This window comes from Homo sapiens, chromosome 17 (genome assembly GCF_000001405.40).
Source record: "Homo sapiens chromosome 17, GRCh38.p14 Primary Assembly".
NCBI lineage: Eukaryota > Metazoa > Chordata > Mammalia > Primates > Hominidae > Homo > Homo sapiens.
Window position 1 is genome coordinate 73,091,592 of NC_000017.11, and position 17,257 is coordinate 73,108,848.

The 17,257-nt window shown below is 47.9% G+C and overlaps 1 protein-coding gene across 32 annotated transcripts in view, besides 1 other annotated feature; it reads right to left on the minus strand.

Annotated features, from left to right (window-relative positions):
* The window catches only part of SLC39A11 (solute carrier family 39 member 11), a 446,740-nt gene extending 445,643 nt beyond the window's left edge, over positions 1 to 1,097 (minus strand). For 15 of the 32 annotated variants that reach the window (XM_017024335.2, NM_139177.4, XM_006721757.3 and 12 more), the window contains exon 1: positions 1,020 to 1,097. The gene's annotated coding sequence lies outside the window, so the exon portion shown is untranslated. Of the gene's footprint in view, positions 1 to 232; positions 526 to 903 lie in introns of all 32 variants that reach the window. The other 17 variants (XM_047435571.1, NM_001352693.2, XM_017024334.3 and 14 more) reach the window with 3 other exon arrangements.
* Positions 26 to 257: a silencer, noted in NCBI's record as "fragment chr17:71087756-71087987 (GRCh37/hg19 assembly coordinates)". NCBI's record gives its function as "represses an EF-1alpha promoter that drives an FKBP-Casp9 reporter gene in an ReSE screen in HepG2 liver carcinoma cells {active_cell/tissue: HepG2}" and the evidence as "EXISTENCE:reporter gene assay evidence [ECO:0000049][PMID:32094911]".
* Positions 1,098 to 17,257: the final 16,160 nt, after the last annotated feature.

Consider the following 17,257-nt stretch of genomic DNA (forward strand, 5'->3'; position numbering starts at 1 on the left):
GAGAAGAAAAAGTTTCTGGCAGAGTCCCAAGAGAACAAGAAGTTTTCTCTAACCGGCAGACCAGTAACAACTTTAGGACACAGCATCTCCATCACAGCTTACACAATGGGGCTCAGAATTCCTCACGATGGGGATATTAATTCCATCAACCCTGATTCGTTAGCAGCAGGGAGAATCATTCTCTGACCGTTCCAACTTTTAACATGCCAACAGCCTGTAGACTTGTACACACCTGCCACAGCAGCACATGGGCATTCCCGGCTGATTGATACAGGTTTGTTTTCTTTATTTCCTTTCTCCCCCTTTTAAACCTGTTGTTCCGCTTCCAAGAGTCAGTTCAAGAGGCTGGTGAAGTTGCAGAAGTGGAAACAGCACTAGGGCTGCTGGGCCTTAGTGGAGCTGCACACACATGCCCTAACTCCACGAGGGGGAATCCAGCAGAAGGATTCAGGTCTGGGCGGAGAGGACTGTGGAAAAGTTCTCTAATGCCTCGCTACTCAAAGCGTGGTCCGCGGACCACCCAACCTGGGAATTAGTTAGAAATGCACACTGTCACGCCCCACCCAGACCTGCTGCAAGTTAACCAGATTCCCAGTCAAGTTCCAGAGGTCCAGCTAACAGCCAGAGCAAGTGGGAGGGGCCTGGGAGCAGCTGGATTTGTAGCTGCCTCTGCTCCCAGGAATCCCGGGTACCCCCACACACCGCCTAGGAAGGGACGAACGAAGAGGATTTGGGTTAGGACTGTAAAAGGAAGGCATGTCATTGCCTTCCAGATCACCCTGGAGAGGGACATAGCCGGGGTCCGGGGACTTCCTTCCCACCGCCCCTCACCCTCCCACCCCGCCCCGACACCTGCCAAAGCCTCCAATTTCTCCTCCAAACCCCTCCTCTCTCCAGGCGTACCCCCTTCCAAGCTCCAGGTGGCTGCCCTTCCAAGTCCCACACTCTTGTCCTGATGGCCTCCGACCCCGGGCCTCGAGCCCAACCAAAGGCACCGAAGGAGAGAAAAGCCAACTCACTAGGGTGCCCTCTCCAGCCCCCACTGCACTTCCATCAGCCCCCGCTGCCACTCTCTCGCCGGCTCCACTCCCGCAGTCACTTCCTGCTTCCCTCCCGCACACGTGGCCCTCCCGCCTCCGGGCCCCGCCCCCTTGGCCGCAACTGGCAACTCCCGCCTGAAGAATAGATTCTCTGGTTCACAGCCGTCTGCAGGCTCAGGAACAGATCTGGGCGGGCAGAACAGAGCCCTGAGGCCAAGAGCCCAGCAGTCTGCGAGTGACTGCAGCCCTAAGGGAAGCTACAAACACCCAAGGAAAGAGCCCTTTGTAACACCCCTGATGTTACTTATGCTTCTACACCTTTGGCAGCCAGGTCCATGCCACTGGGTGCGCAGCAGAGCAGGATGTGCTGTGTGTGTGTTGCGGGAGAGGCTGGGGGCGGGTAATGTGATGGCATCGGCATCATTCTCCAGTCAATGACCCTCAAAAGAATCACTGGAGGGGGTCAAACACAAAATGCCAGCACCCCCAGAGGCTCTGGTTCCGTCATTCTGGGTGGGGCTGACATTTTGGGATTTTTTTGTTTTTGCTTTTGTTTTTTTGAGATGGAGTCTCGCTCTTTCGCCCAGGCTGGAGTGCCGTGGCCCAATCTCGGGTGATTGCAGCCTCTGCCTCCTATGTTCAAGCGATTCTCCTGCTTCAGCCTCCCGAGTAGCTGGGATCACAGGTGCATGCTGCCAAGCCCCGCTAATTTTTGTTTTTTTTTTTTTTTTTTTTTTTTTTTAGTAGGGACGGGGTTTCACCACGTTGCCCAGGCTGGCCTCGAACCCCTGACCTCAAATGATCCACTCGTGTGGGCCTCCCAAAGTGCTGGATTATAGGCATGAGCCACCGCGCCTGGCCTGAGATCTTGTTTTGAGCTAGGAGTTGCTGATGCTGCTGTCCTGGGACCACCCTTTGAAAAGCACTGCCCTAGGTCAAAGGCTTTGATCTGCAGGATTTCTGTGAAAAGACCAGAGGATAGGATTGACTAGATTTAGCCAAAAACAAAACAAAATAAATAAATAGATAGAAACAAGATGCCTGGGCTGGGCGCTGTGGCTCACGCCTATAATCCCAGCACTTTGGGAGGCCGAGGCGGGCAGATCACAACGTCTGGAGATCGAGACCATCCTGGCTAATACGGTGAAACCCCGTCTCTACTAAAAATACAAAAAATTAGCTGGGCGTGGTGGCAGGCGCCTGTAGTCCCAGCTACTCGGGAGTCTGAGGCAGGAGAATGGCGTGAACCCGAGAGGCCGAGCTTGCAGTGAGCCAAGATCACGCCACTGCACTCCAGCCTGGGCAACAGAGCAAAACTCCATCTCAAAAAAAAAAAAAAAAGCCTGATTAAATTTGAATTTCAGAAAAATAACGTCATTTATTACTATAAATATGCCCCGGGCAATGTGTGGGACATACTTATGTTACAGGCATATTTGTTGTTGATCTGAAACTGAAACCCAGCTGAGTGTCCTGTGTTTTATTTGACAACATATCAGAGCGTGACCTGAGCAGAAAAGCTACCCGTGGTCTCGATGGCCATAGCCCAAAGGGTCCAATAACAGGCCTCTTTCTTCCAGTGGAACTAGGTTGTTCACACTGACGGTCGCACCATATACCAAGCACTCCATGGGGAGGAGAAGACAGCCTGGCCACTGGAGGGTGGTCTTTGCCCTTAAAAGACCCCCAACTTGGAAGAGTCAAATCAGCCATTGCAATTCCACATAAGAGAGTATGTACAGGCACACAGAGACACAATACCCATGTGGCACGGCCCATCAACTCATCTTCCAAAATGTCATACCTCTTCCTGCACGCTGCAATAGCCATAAAATGACACAATATCTTAGACTCACTTCAAAATATGATGGAAGAGAAAAGTGGATGGAGTAGAGATTAAACAAAATTGGCCATGAATTAACCATTCTTAGGCTGGGCATGGTGGTTCACACCTGTAATCCCAGCACTTTGGGAGGACAAGGTGGGCAGATTGTTTGAGCCCAAGAGTTTGAGACCGGCCTGGGCAAAAAAGCAAGATCTCGTCGCTACAAAAAGTTTTTAAAAAGTAGCTGGACATGGTGGCAGATGGTAGCTGGGCCTGTAGTCCCAGCTACTAGGGAGGCTGAGTGGGGAGGATCACTTGAGCCCAGGAGTTTGAGGCTGCAGTGAGCCGTAATGGTGCCACTGCACTCCAGTGAAAGACCCTGTCTCTTAAAAATAAAAAATTAACCATTGTTGAACCTGGGGAACGGGCACGTAGAGGTTCATTAAATGTTTCTGTTTCTACTTTTGTGGATGCTTAAATTCTTTTCTTTTTTTTTGAGACGGAGTCTCGCCCTGTCACCCAGGCTGGAGTGCAGTGGTGCAATCTCGGCTCGCTGCACCCTCCACCTCCCAGGTTCAAGTGATTCTCCTGCCTCAGCTGGCCTCCCAATTAGCTGGGACTACAGGTGCGTGCCACCACACCCAGCTAATTTTTTGTATTTTTAGTAGAGACGGGGTTTTGCCATGTTGGCCAGGCTGGTCTCAACCTCCTGAGCTCAAGCAATCCACCTGCCTCAGCCTCCCAAAATGCTAGGATTACAGGAGTGAGACACTGCGCCCAGCCGCTTAAATTCTTTATAATGAAAAATAAACAGAAATGTTTACAACGATCCACAAAGTGCCTCTCCTGCCCAATCCTTTCTCTCCTTTCTCACTGCTGCTGTGAGGATTCAACCTGCCCATCCCTCATCTAGGTCATGGAGTCACCTCCTTCCACTCCACCCTGTCTAGTCTGTTCCATGTAGCACCGCCAAGATCAGCCTGCCTAAAGCACAGCACATCACACTCTCCTGCTCAAAAAGCTCCGATAGCTCCCCAGTGCCTTTGGCATAAAGTTCAAATGCTTCAGCCTGGAATTTGAGTTTTGCTGTGGTATGATTCCAACTAAACGTTCTCAAGTCTGTCTCCCAGGGTTCTCCTCCCTGTGCCCTCTGGCCAAGCCAGGCTGGACAGCTCGCTGTCCTCCACACAGCCTTCCCTCCCTGCCACTCCTATCTCCCTTATACCATTTCTGCTGAACTGCCCTTCGCCTCCCAAATCTAAGCCCCACCATCCTGCAAGACCCAGGTTTAATGCATTCTCCTTGGGCACCCCATCTGACCTCATCTCCCACCTGTCCCAGCCCTGGTTACAAATCGAGTCTCTATCCTCTAAGGTCCCATAGAACTCCATCTGGATTCTAAGGCACTTGCCTCCTTCTGTCTTATACTGTAGGATCTAACTTCACTGCTATATTCGGCATACAGACCCAGGATTAGAATCAAGCTCCTTACTGAGCTTCTTCCCCTCATCCCAGCCAGGATAGCACCTCATATTATAGCATGTCCTCAAGAGATGCTTGCATGCAATGCATAGGTAAACTTGATGTGGGAAAGGAAAAGTGGGGAAGCAACTAACATTTGTTGAATGCCCAACCTGGGCCACTTTATCTTTATATCCTCTTCTTATGTAAAACTCACAACTCTGAGGGGAAGGTATCATTATCCCCATTCTACAGATAAGGAAATTGAGGCTCAGGAAAGCTCTGGAGTGACCCAAGGTCCATGGGGCAGTGTGGGACACCAAGCCCAGCTGACTCCTGAGATGGTGCCCTTCCTGCATGGGGCATTCAGGGCTCACAGGATGAGACCCAGAGCCACCTTGATCAGCATTTCTGCATCTCACTTTCTTTAAACCACACCAAGCCCATAAGCGGGAGGGGTGCTAACCCCCAGGAGACAAATCTTACCATTTCCCCATCTTTCTCAATAAACTCCCACACATATGCCCACTCCGCAAACATGCAAACTGCCCCCTTTCACATACTTCCTTACAGTCAAAAGGGCCAGAGTATTGGCCAGAAGAAAATGTTTCCTGGGCCAGGTGCGGTGGCTCACGTCTGTAATCCCAAAACTTCGGGAGGCTGAGGTGGGTGGATCACGTGAGGTCAGGAGTTCGAGATCAGCCTGGCCAACATGGTGAAACCCCATCTCTACTAAAAATACAAAAATAAGCTGGCCATGGTGGCAGGCGCCTGTAAGCCTAGCTACTCGGGATGCTGAGGCAGGAGAATCGCTTGAACCTGGGAGACGGAGGTCGCAGTGAGCCGAGATCATGCCATTGTGCTCCAGCCTAGACGACAAGAGCAAAACTCCATCTCAAAAAAAGAAGAAAGAAGAAAATGTTTCCTGAAAGCTAAATACACTGGCTCTGACCTCCACCCCACCCACAGTCCATTCCTATTCTCTCCCATGGGACCTAAGGTGGCCTGACGCCCCCAGGGCAAAGGGATGGGATATGCAGGAACAGACCAGAACAGTGGCTCCAGAAGCAGTGGCAGGGGGATTTGCAGGCAGTGAAGGCTGCTTCCCATGCGTCACAGGGCCCTAAGACTGATGCCAACCATCCGCAAAGGAACTGCAAGGCAACAAGATGGTGGGCGGCCCTTTCCAGAGGAGTCACTGTGGTTTGATCTGGCTAAATGCCCTGCTGGCACCTCCTCCTGGAAGACTGTGGTGGCGGGGGGGCAAGCAGAGGGATCATGGACAGCAGCTTTGCAGAAAGAATGGAGACGGGCATAAAGTTGTCCACCCCAATGAGTCCTGGATCTCACCTTTGTTTTTCTCCCTCTCCCTCTCTCTCTCTCTCCCTCTCCCTCTCTCTCATCCTGTTTCTCTTAAAAGGTAATATAGCAGTTGATTGCTAGCCTCAGAATCTGACCACACAGAAGAAAGCCTAGCTTGGCATGTGGGTTCTCACGGATGCATTGCCCAACACCTCTTGAAACCACCATTGCAAAACTGTAACAGAGGCCAGGCATGGTGGCTCACACATGTCATCCCAGCACTTTGAGAGGTCGAGGCAGGCGGATCACTTGAAGTCAGGAGTTTGAGACCAGTCTGGCCAATATGGCGAAACCCCGTCTCTACTAAAAATACAAAAATTAGCCAGGCGTGATGGAAGGCGCCTGTAATCCCAACTTCTGGGGAGGCTGAGGCATGAGAATCACATGAACCTGAGAGGCAGAGGGTGCAGTGAGCCAAGATCATGCCACTGCACTCCAGCCTGGGGAACAGAGCGAGACTCCGTCTCAAAAAAAAAAGAAAAATTGGCGCCACTGCACTTCAGCCTGGGGAACAGAGTGAGACTCCGTCTCAAAAAAAAAAGAAAAAAGAAAAATTGGCACCACTGCACTCCAGCCTGGGGAACAGAGCAAGACTCCATCTCAAAAAAAAAAAAAAAAAAAGAAAGAAAGAAAAAATACAACTGTAATGGCAACAGTGAAAGAGATTTGACCTAACCAACTCTATCTTGCTTCTAACCTCCAAACTGTTCTTGTTCATTCCTAGACATAGGTTGAACTACCTTTAGGAGGAATTTATAGTTTATAGTTTAAAACAAAGATGATAACAGCCCTTTCCCAAAACAAACCTGCTTCTTGCCTGGGGTTTAGGCAAGAAGCCTTTGTAGGACTAACAAATTAGTCACAAGATTAGAAATTATGACTGGGCACAGTGGCTCACGCCTGTAATCCCAGCACTATGGGAAGCCAAGATGGGCAGATAACCTGAGGTCAGGAGTTTGAGACCAGCCTGGCCAACATGGTAAAACCCCGTTTCTACTAAAAACACAAAAATTAGCCGGGCGTGCTGGCTCACACCTGTAATCCCAGCTACACAGGAGGCTGAGATGCAAGAATCGCTTGAACCCAGGAGGTGGAGGCTGCAGTAAGCCAAGATCACACCACTGCACTCCAGCCTGAGCAAGAGTGAGACTCCACCTCAAAAAAAAAGAGAAAAAAGAAAAAAGAAATTATGGTTTATGAATCATGCAGCTAGAGGCTACAAGATTCTGACCCTCCCTAAACTGCTTCTAAGATCAGTGCTTGAGATATTTTGCAGAACCTGCACTTGACGGATCAGTTGGCACCACCCAGATAGATAAACTGGTTTATGTGATCTTGTGGCCCCTACCTAGGAACTGACTCCGCACAAGAGGACGGCTTCAACTCCCTATAGTTTCATCTCCAAACCAATCAATCAGCACTCTCAACTGAATGGCCTTCCCCATTCACCAAATTATCCTTAAAAACTCTGATCTTGGCTGGGCATGGTGGCTCACACCTTAATCCCAGCACTTTGGGAGGCTGAGGTGGGCAGATCACCTGAGGTCAGGAGTTCGAGACCAGCCTGGCCAACATGGCGAAACCCCGTCTCTACTAAAAATACAAAAATTAGCCGGGGATAGTGGTGTGCACCTGTAGTCCCAGCTACTCAGGAGTCTGAGGCAGGAGAATCGCTTGAACCCAGGAGGTGGAGGTTTCAGTGAGCCAAGATCGCACCACTACACTCCAGACTTCATATCAAAAAACAAACAAACAAAAAACCTCTGATCCCCAGTGCTCTGGGAGACTGATTTGAGTAACAATAAAACTCCGGTGGCAGGGTGCTTTGCAGGCAACGAGGACTGCTTCCCATGCATCAGAGGACCCTGACTGATGCTGATCATCAGCAAAGGAACTGCAGGACAAGAGGGTGGATGGCCTTTTCCACAGCAATTGCTGTAGTTTGGTCTGGCTAAATGCCATGCTGGCACCTCCTCCTGGAAGACGGCAGTGGGACAGAGCAGGGCACAGCCTGCTCTGCATGAATTACTCTTTCTCTATTGCAATTCCCCTGTCTTAATAAATGGGCTCTGTCTAAGCAGTGGGCAAGGTGAACCCATTGGGCAGTTGTACTCTCGGCTTCATTCTCCTCATCCTGAGTCTGGGAATAAATAACACAGTGCTCTCTCCAGGTTACTGTGACCTGGAGTGACGCCTCCAACACCCTGCCTAGCACGTATCCAGGCTCCCTTGAACGATTATTACCCATCAGCCCTCTTCCTCCTTCACTTATTCGTTCTTCATGGACTCAGCAGACCTTTCTTCAGTGCTTACCCTGTGTCGTGCACTTTGCTGGAGCCGGGTACAGGGCAGCCAACTCAACAGATGAGGCTCTGCCTTGTCCGCCCTCGCTTGCCTGCCATTTCCTCCCCTGTGCTGGAGGCTGACCACCGACACAGCGTGAGGACTGAGCCTCTGAGCCTGGGGCAGCCTGTTCCTTCCTTCCGCAGAGTGCAGATAATAAACCCAGCAGGAACTGGCTCTCAGATTTGCAGATGGGAACCCAACAGTGACAGTAATAGGCAGTTTATAGACGTGCTATAGAAATATAAGGGGTTTCCTATTGTTATTTGTTCAGGGGATTTTTTAAATTACCCTCCACCCATCTATGCAGAATTCATCCCCTTCCCTCCACCGCCACCGCTGTCACCTGTACCCAAACAACTCTGCTTCATCATCCTGCCCTAACCACCTGATAGGTGTTCCTGATTCCCCCAGTGCCCTCCAAACAGTTCCCACTCTTCACAGCAGCCAAAGTGATGTTTTAAAGACAAAAAATACAGGCTGGGCACGGTGGCTCACACCTGTAATCCCAGCACTTTGGAAGGCAAAGGCGAGTGGATCCCTTGAGGTCAGGAGTTCGAGACCAGCCTCGCCAACGGGGTGAAACCCCATCTCTACTAAAAATACAAAAATTAGCCGGGTATGGTGGCGCATGCCTGTAGTCTCAGCTACTTACGAGGCTGAGGCAGGAGAATCGCTTGAACCTGGGAGGTGAAGGTTGCAGTCAGTCAAGATCGTGGCACTGCACTCCAGCCCAGGTGACAGAGTATGACTCTGTCTCAAACAAAAAAAAAAAAGACAAAAATACAGTCATGCCAGTCTACTATGACAAACCCTCTGAGAGCTCCACACTGCCCTTGATGTAAACGCTGGTGGCTTCAGGAACACCCAGAATCACTCCGAACCCCTTCCTCACTCTGCTTCATCCAGGCTGATCTGCCTTCTCCTGGAACACCAAGCACACTCCTGCCTCAGGGCCTTTGCACTTGCTGCACCCTCTTTCTGTCTCCCAAATTTTCATCTGTCTGGGTCCTCTGTTATTTGGATCTCAGCTCCAATGCTACCCTTTCCAAGAGGCCTTCCTGGAATATCCAATCTAATGTAGATCATCCAAGCCATTCTTTATTTTCTTCCTGGCACATCTTGATGTCTGGTAATCCTGTTTGTTTGTTTGGTTGGTCTCCCCAAATGCAAGTTCCATGAGAGCACTACCACGTCTGCCTTTTGTATTACTGTATCCCCAGTGCATGGTACACAGTAGCTGTTCAAGATTTATTTAAAGAGTAAGTCAATCTGACACATAAGTCTTATCTTTTTTTCTTTTTAGACAGAGGCTCGCTCTGTCACCCAGGCTGGAGTGCGGTGGCACAATCTTGGCTCACTGCAGCCTCCATCCCCCAGGTTCAAGTGATTCTCCTGCCTCAGTCTCCTGAGTAGCTGGGATTACAGGTGCCCGCCAGCGTACTGGGCTAAGTTTTGTATTTTTAGTAGAGACGCGGTTTCACCATGTTGATCAGGCTGGTCTTGAACTCCTGGCCTCAAGTGATCTGCCCACCTTGGCCTCCCAAAGTGCTGGAATTATAGGCATGAGCCACTGTGCCCGGCCTCTGAACAGGAAGTTCTAACCAGCCTCTTATGTAAGCACCATCCAGGGCAGCCAACAGCCACCTGGCACCATTTTCTGGGCCTAGTACAAGGAAATGCTGCCTAGAGGCTTAAAGGAGAAACCAAGTTGCCAATTCAGTCCCTCCTTACCTTTGACTAATGTTCGAATCCAAACCTGCACCACACAGGCTCAAGGGAGGCACAACAGTAAAGCTTTCACTGATTTTTTATTATGATTATACTTTAAGTTCTAGGGTACATGTGTACAACGTGCAGGTTTGTTACATATGTATACATGTGCCATGTTGGTGTGTTGCACCCATTAATTCATCCTTTACATTAGGTATATCTCCTAATGCTATACCTCCCCCCTCCCCCCACCCCACCACAGGCCCCGGTGTGTGATGTTCCCCTTCCTGTGTCCAAGTGTTCTCATTGCTCAATTCCCACCTATGAGTGAGAACATGCGGTGTTTGGTTTTCTGTCCTTGTGATAGTTTGAGGAGAATGATGGTTTCCAGCTTCATCCAGGTCCCTACAAAGGACATGAATTCATCCTTTTTATGGCTGCATAGTATTCCACGGTGAATATGTGCCACATTTTCTTAATTCAGTCTATGATTGTTGGACATTTGGGTTGGCTCCAAGTCTTTGCTATTGTGACTAGTGCCGCAATAAACATATGTGTGCATGTGTCTTTATAGCAACATGATTTATAATCCTTTGGGTATATACCCAGTAATGGGATGGCTGGGTCAAATGGCATTTCTAGTTCTAGATCCCTGAGGAATCGCCACACTGACTTCCACAATGGTTGAACTAGTTTATAGTCCCACCAACAATGTAAAAGTGTTCCTATTTCTCCACATCCTCTCCAGCACATGTTGTTTCCTGACTTTTTAATGATCGCCATTCTAACTGGTGTGAGATGGTATCTCATTGTGGTTTTGATTTTCATTTCTCTGATGGCCAGAGATGATGAGCACTTTTTCATGTGTCTGTTGGCTGCATAAATGTCTTCTTTTGAGAAGTGTCTGTTCATATCCTTTGCCCACTTTTTGATGGGGTTGGTTTTTTCTTGTAAATTTGTTTGAGTTCTTTGTAGATTCTGGATATTAGCCCTTTGTCAGATGAGTAGATTGCAAAAATTTTCTCCCATTCTGTAGGTTGCCTGTTGACTCTGATGGTAGTTTCTTTTGCTGTGCAGAAGCTCTTTAGTTTAATTAGATCCTATTTGTCAATTTTGGCTTTTGTTGTCATTGCTTTTGGTGTTTTAGACATGAAGTCCTTGCCCATGCCTATGTCCTGAATGGTATTGCCTGGGTTTTCTTCTAGGGTTTTTGTGGTTTTAGGTCTAACATTTAAGTCTTTAATCCATCTTGAATTAATTTTTGTATAAGGTGTAAGGAAGGGATCCAGTTTCAGCTTTCTACATATGGCTAGCCAGTTTTCCCAGCACCATTTGTTAAATAGGGAATCCTTTCCCCATTTCTTGTTTTTGTCAGGTTTGTCAAAGATCAGATAGTTATAGATGTGTGGTATTAATTCTGAGGGCTGTGTTCTGTTGCATTGGTCTGTATCTCTGTTTTGGTACCAGTACCATGCTGTTTTGGTTACTGTAGCCTTGTAGTATAGTCTGAAGTCAGGTAGCATGATGCCTTTTTTCTTTTTTTTTGAGACGGAGTCTCGTTCTTTTGCCCAGGCTGGACCTCAGTGGTGCTATCTCAGCTCACTGCAAGCTCCACCTCCTGGGTTCACGCCATTCTCCTGCCTCAGCCTCCCGAGTAGCTGGGACACAGGCACCCGCCACTGCGCCTGGCTAAATTTTTGTATTTTTAGTAGAGACAGGGTTTTACCATGTTAGCCAGGATGGTCTCGATCTCCTGACCTCATGATCCGCCCACCTCGGCCTCCCAAAGTGCTGGAATTACAGGCATGAGCCACCGTGACTGGCCAGTTTCACTGACTTTACGCACATCTATTGTTAGGAGCAACATTTCTGATTTTGTGATAGGTTTTTTTTTTTTTTTTTTTTTTTTTTTTGAGGCAGAGTCTCACTCTGTCACCCAGGCTGGAGTGCAGTGGCACAATCTCTGCTCACTGCAACCTCCACCTCCTGAGTTCAAGCGATTCTCCCTGCCTCAGCCTACCGAGTAGCTGGGATTACAGATGCACGCCACCACGCCCGGCTAATTTTTGTATTTTTAGTAGAGACAGGGTTTCGCCATATTGGCCAGGCTGGTCTTGAACTCCTGACCTCAGGTGATCCTCCCACCTTAGCCTCCCAAAGGGCTGGGATTACAGGCGTGAGCCACCGCGCCTGGACTTGTGACAGGTATTGAAAATGCAAAACCAAGCTTGCTTGACTGCCAGCTTAATAAGATATCCAGTTATTACACAAAAAAAAACCCCACCACTGACAGAATATGAAATCATCTCTGTCTCTGAAATGATAATCGGCATAAATCAGTTTTTCTCATATTTCTACATTTGTTGCTTCAAACAAATGGCATCTCATATTAAGCAATTCTGTGGAGGCCATTTTGATACGCTTACGAAGGGAAATTGCTAAACAATTAAGTTCTATTTTGAGGCTATTCTTTCACAATTTCATGGATCATGTAAATGATCTGTTCATTCATTCAGTCACTCAGCAAATGTTTACCACACACTCCTGTGTCAGAGGCACGTCTGGATCACTGGGTACACACCAGGAGGCGAGGCAGATGCAACCGTGGCCTCACGATGCTTCCAGTCTAGAAGCTTCGGAAATTGGATCAATTCTGCATTAGAAACTAAGGCTTATTATCAAAGCTATTTTATTATTAAACTGCCTCTCTCCTTTTTTTCTTATTCCTCATAATACATCCATGCCTTCCACTGCTGGAAGCCAGTGAGTCACTCTAGCTAGTGAGGACAAATCAACAGGAGAGAACAATCGTTCACGCGTTTCAACACAGCCAGGCCCAGGGCCTTCACTTGCAAGTGGGTTGCTGTGAGCAGAGAGTGTTCCCGATGGGGAGGAGACCAGTTACATATCAATGTAAACTCTGCTGATAAATTGTCAAAAGAGATCTCAGAAGAAAAGGACCTAAATCTAAAGTCTAGGTATTTGTGATTTCTTTCTCATTCTAAAGTAATATTCATTTTCCTACCTAAATTTCTTACTTTTTCTTAAAGAAGACCTTCAAAATTGTATAAGTTTCAGAATCCACAAAACCTGGATGTGTCCTGGGTGAATGTTTAGAGATTTAAGAAGGAAAACAAATAACTTCCTCTGCTGGGCAGAACCATACCCCCTCCCTTCCCCTAAAGATGTCCATGTCCTAATCCCTGAAACCCGTGAAAATGTCACCTTACAGGACAAAAGGGTCTTTGCTGATGTGATTGAGCCTCTTGAGATAGGAGATCATCCTGGATTATCTGGGTGGGCCCACATAATCAGTCACAAGGGTCCTTATAAGGAGAAAGAGGGCTAGGCGAGGTGGCTTAAGTGCGGTAATCCCAGCACTTTGGGAGGCTAAGGCCAGTGGATCACCTGAGGCCAGGAATTTGGGACCAGCCTGGGCAACATGGTGAACCCTGCCTCTACTAAAAATACAAAAAAAATTAGATGGGCATGGTAGCATGCACCTGTAGTCCCAGCTGCTTGGGAGGATGAGGCACGAGAATCGCTGGAAACTGGGAGGCAGAGATGGCAGTGAGCCAAGGTCGCACCACCACGCTCCAGGCTGGGCAACACGCAAGACTCTATCTCAAAAAAAAAAAAAAGAAAGAAAAAGAGGGAGACTGCAGAGTCAGACTAAGAGGAGGTGATTCAACGACAAGGGAAACAGAGGTTGGAGTGATGCAGCCAAAAGCCAAGGAATGTTGGCTGGACAAGACAAAGAAATGGGCTCTGTCCTAAGGCCTCCAGAAGGAGTGCAGCCTTGAGACACCTCGATGTTTAGGACTTCTGACCTCCAGAACTATGTAAGATAATAAATTTGTACTGTTTCAAGCTACTACGTTTGGGATCAGCTGTTACAGCAGCCGTGAAAAACACGCTTCCTTTTGTCTGGAAACACCTCATTTCACAGACACCCTTCTCCGGTGATGTTGTGAACCACCAGGTTCCATACTGGGTCCTCGTTCACTGTCATGACTAGGTAGGACCAACTATATAATTTGCAGGACCTGGTGCAAAATGAAAATAGGAAGCCCCCGGTTCAAAAAGCAGGGGGGAAAATGCCATTAAAGGAACTAGAATATAAAGCTTTTCCTTTCTTCTATGTCCCTCCCCTGGCAATGTGGAGACTCCATTGTTTCACTGAACTTTGCTTACAAAACACAAGTTCAAAGATAAAATTATTAGCAATCTCAAGACATGACAGCAGAGCATTAAACAAGCCCAGTTCCTTCTGCACATGGGGCCTTGTGTGACCACACAAGCCACAGGTCTATGAAGCCCATCGCATCCCTGGGCTGATGTGGCAGGCCCAGAATGAAGCCCACAGTGTCAAAATGGGAAAATCAGCCAGGGTTGATTATTCAGAAAAAAAAAAAAAAAGCCACAGAGAGATTCAGAAGTAGAAGTTCTGGATGGAGGGAAAGCAAAATGCAAAAAAGTGCAATACCCACAGCCAGAACGGGAAGTCCTGATCTAAGCCAGTCCAGGGAGGGAAGCAGCAGAAACCCCAGGAGCCTGGGAATGGGAATTGGACATCCTGCCGGGGGAGCCTGGGATTTGAGAAGGAGAAATTTCAATTCCCAATGGAAATGAGAAGCTAGGTAAGAAAGAAGGTAAGACCATCTTCTCAGCAATCAGAAACTAGTGGACCACTATCTGGGGTCTCTAAGCTCTCAGGTGTGAGGAATGGTTAATTTTTTTTTTTTAAGTGGGATGGACCTGGTGGCTCACGTCTGTATTCCCAGAGCTTTGACATGCCGAGATGGGAGGATTGCTTGAAGCCAGGAGCTCAAGATCAGCCTGGGCAAAACAGTGAAACCCCATATCTACAAAAAATTTTAAAAATTAGCCTGGTATGATGGTGCACACCTGCAGTCCAAGCTACTTGAGAGGCTGAGGTGGGAGGATCACTTGAACCCAAAAGATAGAGGCTGCACCAGCACTTTGGGAGGCCGAGGCGGGCAGATCACCTGAGGTCGGGAGTTCAAGACCAGCCTGACCAACATGGAGAAAACCCATCTCTACTAGAAATACAAAATTAGCCGGGTGTGGTGGTGCATGCCTGTAATCCCAGCACTCGGGAGACTATGGCAGGAGAATCACTTGAACCCAGGAGGCAGAGGTTGCAGTGAGCCAAGATTGTGCCATTGCACTCCAGCCTGGGCAACAAGAGTGAAACCAAAAAAAAAAAAAAAAAAGAAAGATAGAGGCTGCAGTGAGCTACGATCACATCTCTGCAATAGAGTGAAACCTTGTCTTAAAAATAAATTAATGAATTAATAAGTTGGTTTTTTTTTTTTTTTTTTTTTTTTTTTTTTTTGCAGAGACAGAGTCTCACTCCGTCGCCCAGGCTGGAGTGCAGTGGCACGATCTCGGCTCACTGCAACCTCCGCCTCCCAGGTTCAAGTGATTCTCCTGCCTCAGCCTCCCGAGTAGCTGGGACTACAGGTGCCCGCCACCACGCCCAGCTAATTTTTGTATTTTTAGTAGAGACGAGGTTTCATCACGTTGGCCAGGCTGGTCTCAAACTCCTGACCTCAAGTGATCTGCCCACTTCAGCCTACCAAAGTGCTGGGATTACAGGCGTGAGCCACCACACCCAGCCAAATAAATTTAATTTTTAAAAAAAGAATTTAAAAAAATAGATATTGGCTCAAAAGGAAAAAAACTGTAGAAATCTAAATATAATATTTAACTAAATGTCTATAAAACCTTTTAAGTATTGACTTTGGTATTCATAAAAAATTTAATTATATTCCCATTGTTGGCTGCTGGGTCATTAAAAAGAGAAAGAAAAAAATTAATTACATTCAAAAAGCAATCTAAGGCTTAGCTTTTCTGACTTCAAGAGAATTCCTAAGTATGCACAATGATGGCCAAGAAATCGCAGTCAATCGTAAATCAAATATGCTTAGGGGCCAAATACTTTCAAAAGCAAAATTATAAAAATCTTTCTGATTCTTTCATAAGGAATAAAAGCACTTAATGTGGAATGGGGGAGCATTTTAATATGATTGTTGCAATATGGGATGAGTCCTCAAAAAGCAGGAGTTTTTTTAGAGGTCTATACAGAGCCTAAAAGGCCCCAGGGAATGGGGAAGGAACGGGATTCCAAGAAACTTAATTCCTCTCTCAGAGTGGGAGCAGAAACAAAACTCATCCCATGTGAATTAGCTGAGGCTCACGGAGGGCTGATGATAGGGTCAGGGAAAAAGCAGGGTGGGCCTTCCCAGGGAGGAGGGTGGTCTCTTGCTGTTATCATCACCCCGGGGGATGAGACCAGCAAGCCAGGAGCCTTCAGAGGATGGGATGATGGGAAGGAGAACTCCTGGAAAAGAGTGAAGAGCACCTCCCATAGATGCAGAGGAGAACAAGGTGGGAGCTGGTCCCTCAACTGTCCACAGTCGAGAGAGACCCCAAGGTTCTCCAGACCCCATCAGACAGCTCTGGATGGGAACAAGGCCGGGGGTGGAAACGTATGGCCGCTGTGCAAGGTCACTTGAGAAGACCTGCATAGGGGTTAAATAGTGGCCCCAAAAAGAGACATTCAAATCCCAGTCGCTGTGCCTGTGCATGTAACGTTGTATTCATAAAAAGTCTTTGCAGATGTAATTAAAAATCTTGAGATGGGGCCGGGCGTGGTGGCTCATGCCTGTAATCCCAGCACTTTGGGAGGCTGAAGCGGGCGGATCACTTCAGGCCAGGAGTTCAAGACCAGCCTGGCCAACATGGTAAAACTCCGTCTCTACTAAAAATACAAAAATCTCTCGGGCATGGTGGCGGGCGCCTGTAATCCCAGCTAGTCGGGAGACTGAGGCAGAAGAATCATTTGAATCCAGGAGGCAGAGGTTGCAGTGAGCTGAGATTGTGCCATTGCACTCCAGTCTGGGCGACAGAGTGAGACTCCGTGTCAAAAAAAAAAAAAAAAAATCTTATGGGATCATCCAGATTAACCAGCTAAATCCTAAATTCAATGACATATGTGCTTGTAAGAGACCAAAGGGGAGAAATCAGGGACACAGAGAAGAAGAAAAGGCCATGGGAACGTAGAAATAGAGATTGGAGTGAAGCAGCCACAAGCCAAGGAACGCTCGGAGCCGCCAGAAGCCAGAAGAGGCAAGGAAGGATCCTCCCCTGAAGCCTTCAGAGAGACCACGACCCTGACAACACCTTGATTTTAGACTTCTGGCCTCCAGAGCTGTAAGAGAATAAATTTCTGTAGCTTTGAGCCACCCAGTTTGTGGTGTTTTGTAGTATTTTGTATGGGTTTTGTTTTGTTTTGTTTTGTTTTGTTTAAGACTGAGTCTCTCTGTGTCACCCAGCCTGGAGTGCAGTGGCGCGATATCGGCTCACTGCAGCCTCCACCTGCTGGGTTCAAGTGATTCTCCTGCCTCAGCCTCCAGAGTAGCTGGGATTACAGGCGTACGCTACCACGCATGGCAGATTTTTTGTATTTTTAGTAGAGATGGGGTTT